Source organism: Homo sapiens, chromosome 4, assembly GCF_000001405.40.
Source record: "Homo sapiens chromosome 4, GRCh38.p14 Primary Assembly".
Taxonomy (NCBI): domain Eukaryota; kingdom Metazoa; phylum Chordata; class Mammalia; order Primates; family Hominidae; genus Homo; species Homo sapiens.
The window spans coordinates 155,112,401-155,118,966 of NC_000004.12; the positions used below are offsets into that span (position 1 = coordinate 155,112,401).

General features: G+C 38.7%; 1 annotated feature.

Annotated features, from left to right (window-relative positions):
* Positions 1,305 to 1,884: an enhancer, noted in NCBI's record as "NANOG hESC enhancer chr4:156034857-156035436 (GRCh37/hg19 assembly coordinates)". NCBI's record gives its function as "activates a minimal SCP1, AML or CMV promoter by ChIP-STARR-seq in naive H9 embryonic stem cells {active_cell/tissue: H9 hESC(naive)}" and the evidence as "EXISTENCE:reporter gene assay evidence [ECO:0000049][PMID:30033119]".

Consider the following 6,566-nt stretch of genomic DNA (forward strand, 5'->3'; position numbering starts at 1 on the left):
CACGGAATGAAACTGTAAGCTGGACTGGGTGTGAGGAGGGGAGGTGATAAAAGGATTATAGGGTGGAGGAGCAGAGGCTGAGGAAGAATTGGGACCTAGCTCGGCCTGGCGAGGAGGGGAGAGGTCAGATGGGTCTGTAGAAAAGGAAGATTAGAAAGACTCAGCGACGCTTGGGGTTGGGACTGAGGGGACAGGCGGGAGGGAAAGAAGGAAGATTTGGGATGAGTTGCATTGGGCACAGAGACTAGGAAGGGACCGATGTGTAAAAGAATGCCTGGACGTCAGGCACCTCAGACTGTTTGCCTATTTTATGACAAGAATTATTTAGATCTTGCAGGATGGAAAAATTGAAAATGCCATTTTCTGGCTATTTGGAACTACTGTCGAGTTTGTATTGGGATCAAGCAGAATTGCAGAAGAAAATAAGGCATTTAGGTTTTAGGTCAGGTGTGAGTTGAAGAGGTTTTAAGTTTTTGAGAACACAGGCTAAGGGAGAAGAAGGAGGAATGGAGGGTGGAAGGTTGCCCATAGCGAAGGAGGCAAGTTTAAAGAAAAGGGTGAGTAGAGACACGGAGGGAAGTGGTTCAGGGGTTCTTACCCTCCAGAAAAGCAGGAAAGGGGTTGGGGCACAGAGATATGAGGTCAGGGCATGGAAATAAGGGATCAGGTTGCAGAGATATAAGAGGCTGGGGCGCAGAAATAATGGATCGGGGCACGGAGATATAAGAGGTCGGGACACGGAAATAAGGGATCTGGGTGCAGAGATACAAGGTTGGGGTACTTGCCCCTCCCCTAGAAAAGCGAGACTTGTCGCTAAGAGTGAAGGAGAAGGAGTTGGGGGTTTCTTGCCCCCCAGAAAGGTGGAGAAGGGGTAGAGACACGGAGAGAAGGGGTTGGGGTACTTGCCCCTCCCCCAGGAAAGCGGGACTTGCCGCTAAGGGTGAAGGACCAAGGCAGGCATCCCAGCATGGCCTGACACCTCTGAAACGTGGGTGAATAATCAGAGGGGCGTCCCTGCAATGATTCAACACCAAGGGAAGGCTGCCTTCCCAGACCGTGACCGGCACTGGAGTTTTGGGTCCACGGATAAAACATGTCTCCTTTGTCTCTACCAGAAAATGAAAGGAATTGAAATTAAGAGAAGGGAGAGATTGAAGTGTAGCACCAAGATTGAAAGGAGAAAGAGGCTGAGGGATAGTGAGGGAGGTTGGAGAAGAGAGTAAAAAGAGGTTGCTTACTGGATTTGAAATTGGTGAGATGTTTTTTGGGCTGGTTGGTCTGAGGACCTGAGGTCATAGGTGGATCTTTCTCATGGAGCAAAGAGCAGGAGGACAGGGGATTCATGTCCCAAGGGAGGTCCCCCGATCCGAGTCACGGCACCAAATTTCATGCGCGTCCATGTGAAGAGACCACCAAACAGGCTTTGTGTGAGCAACATGGCTGTTTATTTCACCTGGGTGCAGGCAGGCTGAGTCTGAAAAGAGATTCAGTGAAGGGAGATAGGGGTGGGGCTGTTTTATAAGATTTGGGTAGGTAAAGGAAAATTACAGTCAAAGGGGGTTTGTTCTCTGGCGGGCAGGAGTGGGGGTCGCAAGGTGCTCAGTGGGGGAGGTTTTTGAGCCAGGATGAGCCAGGAAAAGGACTTTCACAAGGTAATGTCATCACTTAAGGCAAGGACCGGCCATTTTCACTTCTTTTGTGGTGGGATGTCATCAGTTAAGGCGGGTCAGGGCATATTCACTTCTTTTGTGATTTTTCAGTTACTTCAGGCCATGTGGGCGTATATGTGCACGTCACAGGAGGTGCGATGGCTTGGCTTGGGCTCAGAGGCCTGACAAGAATAATGTTAATCATGTTTACTCATTCATTTTATTCAATAGATATGTTTCATTTACATGTACTAGTTGTTATTCTAAAATTGGTTTGTCCAGTTTTACTTTTTTATCTTTTATATTACTTGTGCTATCCTTTTATTTTTATTTTTATACAAATGATAAAACTGAAGCTCTGAAAAATAAGTACCTTACTCAAAGTTACACATGGTATGGAAGATCTAGAATTGAAACTCATCTGTTTGACCATAAACCTATTTGTATACCATGTAGACTCATTAAAAATAAGTTAATTTATAGACCTTAGGGAAATGCTAAAAAGAAAATTTTCTTCTTCTTAGCAAATTTTTCAGTCCTCCAGTAATAGGTGAATCTCTGTGTGTTTTTAACTAACTGTATGTATTAGATGTGTGAGATCAAAATCAGTGGGTTACTTAGAACAGTTTGGTGAGAAAAATAAACTTCCTACAATAAACATGGTTTACAAAAGGAAATGTAAACGAGAAAGTGTCTGAGATAGGTCTCAAATCAATTTTGAAGTTTATTTTGCTAAGGTTAAGGATGTACCTGGGAGAGAGGTCTGTGCCTTTCTCCAAAGATGTTTTTGAGGGCTTAAATATTTATAGGGGAAAAGTGGGCTGGAGGGGAAAAATGGAGGGTATGGCAATCCACATGTTGCAGGAGAAAATGAGCAGGCAGGGGAATAGTCAATTATCTATTCATCTGGAGCTGAGTAAATCAGCACTTTACATAAGATAAAGTGAGCACAGAGTAGCTGCCTGTGGAGATATTTAACCTTTTATATCTAGCTCTCTGCTTAGGAACAAAAGGAAAGGCAGTTTCTTGCATGACTCAGCTTTCAGCTTAATTTTATTCTTTGGGCATAGATAATTGGGGTCCTGAGTTTTTATTTTCCTTTCACATTTCTCCCACAATTTAAAAAAATCTTTAAGAGAAAGCATTTTAGAAGAAATTGAGTCTCTGGTCTCAGGTTTTGTCTGATGACTCATGGTTGGGATTGTTTATTCCTAGACAGATAGGTCCCACATTGTTAGGAAAGCTCATTTTTAGCAGGTTGTGGAGTCTCATGTCCCATGAGGAAAATATAGTGGGAACAAGAGAGAAATAAAACAACACACAAACAAAACAAAACAAAACAAAACAAAAAAAGAGGGAAGAACAAGCCTGGAAAACTGAAATAGGTCATATTACCCTGAAGTCTACACATCAGTAGGTAGGTATGAAAGTGGTTTGTGTATATAAATGGGATGCTGTTATTGTCTTCTGAAGTTTAAGTTGTTAGCTTCAGTTCACAGGGCTTTAAGAATAGCAGAACTTAATTTTTCATGTTTTCAAATCAGGAAAAGTGGGGAGAAAAGGAAAAGAAAAAAAGGAAAAACATTGAAAACATTATTTTGGACTGAATTTGTCCAAATGGTAGACAATAGTAAAAATTGAAAAGAATTAGGCAAGGCTAGAATCTAATTGTAGAAAATAATAATAATTGAAAAGAATTAGACAAAGCTGGAATCTAATAACAGCTGTACTATAGTTTATTTTGAAACCTGATTTCTCTCTGTCCAATTGCCCATTTTTATTAAAGACAAAATCATAGAAGGATCAATTTATTTGTAAAATAAGTTTTAGTACTATCATTCTTGGCTTGATTCTTTGCATAAAGTGCAGCAAGAATAATCATTTGTCATATAAGCTCACTGTTTTTTTTTAATTGGCTTTACTGGAACATATTTCATAAGGTGTCTAAAACTACATCTTTTTAAAAGCCTCAAGCCCAGACAAAGATTTCTCTGTGCCTGAAGTGAATTTCTCTGTGCCTTTCTGTGTGAATTGGGTTAATTTCTCTCTTTTTAAGGTCTCAAGAAAACCTGGGGTTCCTGAGTGTGTCAGAAACTGACATTCTTTACTTACCACAGGTCAGAACCCTGTAAAGGACAAGGTATGGGGCCAGGTTTTCTAAGGAGCTTTCATCAGCTCTATAGGTCAGCCCCATTTTCTCAAGGACATGTGAAAATATGTTATTCCAGTCAAAGCCTTGGTAAAATAACCAGTGTCTCCAACTATGCTCTGTTATAAAAGAAAACAGATTCTTACTGAACTTTTGCAAATCACTATATTGTCATAAATTAATAATACTCACAAAATAGCTTCCAAATTTTAGAGAAATTAGGTTGAGAGAAAGGAATTATGTTTTAAATTTTGCTCCTAAGAATATATTTTACTAAATTGTTAAGAGCTATAAATAGCTTAAAAGAACATAAAGTTTTTTGTGTGTCTGAAAAATAAAACAAAAAGAATCATCAAATGTTTTAAGTAAAAAGTCGTAAAACATTATTTCAACCTTCCATTAGTTCAGTTCATGCAATTAACTCCTGTTCTGCTTGATATTTAATTAATAATCCTTATGAATACTTCAGCTGTCTATGAAAGTCCTGGAAGTTTTTCTCTCCATTCCAATGGTACAATCTCTAAAGTTATCAGAAACTTGTATTTACAAGTGTGCCTCAGAGTTCCATAGCTGATTATAAACTGCCCTATTAAAGTATCAATGTTGGTCCGGCATGGTGGCTTATGCCTGTAATCCCAGCACTTTGGGAGGCCGAGGTGAGTGGATCACGAGGTCAGGAGTTCAAGAGCAGCTTGACCAAGATGGTGAAACCTCGTCTCTACTAAAACTACAAAAATTAGCCAGGTGCGGTGGCAGGCACCTATAATCCCAGCAACTCAGGAGGCTGAGGCATGAGAATCATTTGAACCCGGGCGGCAGAAGTTGCAGTGAGCCAAGATCGTGCCACTGCACTCCAGCCTGGGCGACAGAGTAAGACTCCATCTCAAAAAAAAAAAAAATTATCAAAGTTAAACAACAATTATGGATGACAAAAGTCTTAGAAAAGCCACGAATGAAGAAACAGTTCATAAGGAAATTTGGTTACTTCTATGAAATACAACAATTTTATGTAATATCATAATTATTACTGATGACATATGCAAATACATATCAGAATCACAGAACTCTCATATAATTTTGGATCATATACTAGTCACACGTTTATATAAATGTTATAATCCAAAGAAGGTTAAACACCATTTCATATTTTGCAATCCTTCCTGCATGATTTTATTATAGCAAATAAGCTGAATATGTGTCTTCTGAACTTCTGGAGACTTAATATAAAAAAAAATGAGATCAAAAATTTTGAATATGATTTTAAAGTGTCAAATATCAAAAGTTACTTGATATCACAAAATAGAACCACAGGTCCTTGTAAAATAAGCAAATAATTTAGCCAAAGTGATAACGATTTCTTTAAAAAGGGAAAAAAAAACATTTATTCTATGAGAGAGGAGACTTAATATCTCAAACAACAAGTCTTAATAAAGACAGCAGGAGGCCAATTAAATCTGTCTCTCAAATCTTTGTTTATAACAAATCTATTAAATTTTAATCATCTTGACCATTAGACATAGTTTTGATAAGCCTTTTTTATAACCTTTTATTTTTTTCTTAAATTAAAAAGTAGGTTAATGCTCCAAGGAAACCTTGTTAATCTGACACAGGGGCCAAGATGCTGGGGTTGCATCAATGTGCCTTTGATATTAATATTTTCTTTAGAGAAAGACTCTGAATTAATATTCTCTCTCAAATTCAGCACTTACAATCTCACATGCCCAACTCTTCATGGTAGTTCCTGGGCTTAGAGTGGTTGAATAGTTTTAATTTCTGACCCTGTGTCTCAAGAACTTGTTTATTTTGTTTGTCATCTTCTCCTGGGTCTGAAAATGAGGCTTTAACTGTGGTCAGTGTTTAAGATTTAGCAGTATTTGCTGTTCTTTATAGACCCAGGAATCAAAGCCGTGTAACTTAATAGCACAAAGACTTTAGAAGCAATACATAAAAAGTTACATGGATGTACTTAACTTTTCTTTCTTTTTTTTTTTTTTTTAGACAGAGTCTCACTCTTTTGCCCTGGCTGGTGTGCAGTGGTGCAATCTTGCTTCACTGAAGCTTCCAGCCTTCTTGGATCAAGCAATCCTCTCACCACAGCTTCCCAAGTAGCTGGCATGACAGTCACATGCCACCCATCAAACCAATTTTTGTATTTTTTCTAAAGACAGGCATCTCACCATGTTTTCCAGGGTGGTCTCAAACTCCTGGGTTGAAGTGATCAACCTGTCTTGACCTCCAAAAGTGCTGGGATTGTAGGCATGAGCCACTGTGCCCAGCCAAATTTCAGTTCCTCCTAAGCAAATCAAGATGTTAGTAACAATGACATAGGAATTATTTCAATAAATAAAATGTAAAATCTGTTAGGCCAGTTACCAAAAGGAAAAAAAAAAGACGTTCCACAGTGTGATTGCTTTTCCCTATGTGGACTCCATTTAGAAAACCTGTAAGTCAAACTAATGAAAATGGTAGCTGAATTAGTTAGACATAGGAAGAGTGTGTCCTGGGTTATAAGTGAAAGTTTTCAGATTTATAGAACAATTTAGACATATTAAGAAAAGCCAAGAGCACGGAATGTTATGTTGGATGAAAACATGTCCTCTATACATTTAAGAAACTCATTTTAGCATCAGGCTACAACAGCATTTAGAAACTGAAGGGAAAACAATTATGGGAGCTAATGAGAAAGTTGCAGGAGAGAGTTATCTAAGGCCTTCTCAAAGAAGAGAGAAAGTTAAAAATAGTAAGATGCAATAAAAGTTGAATTTGGC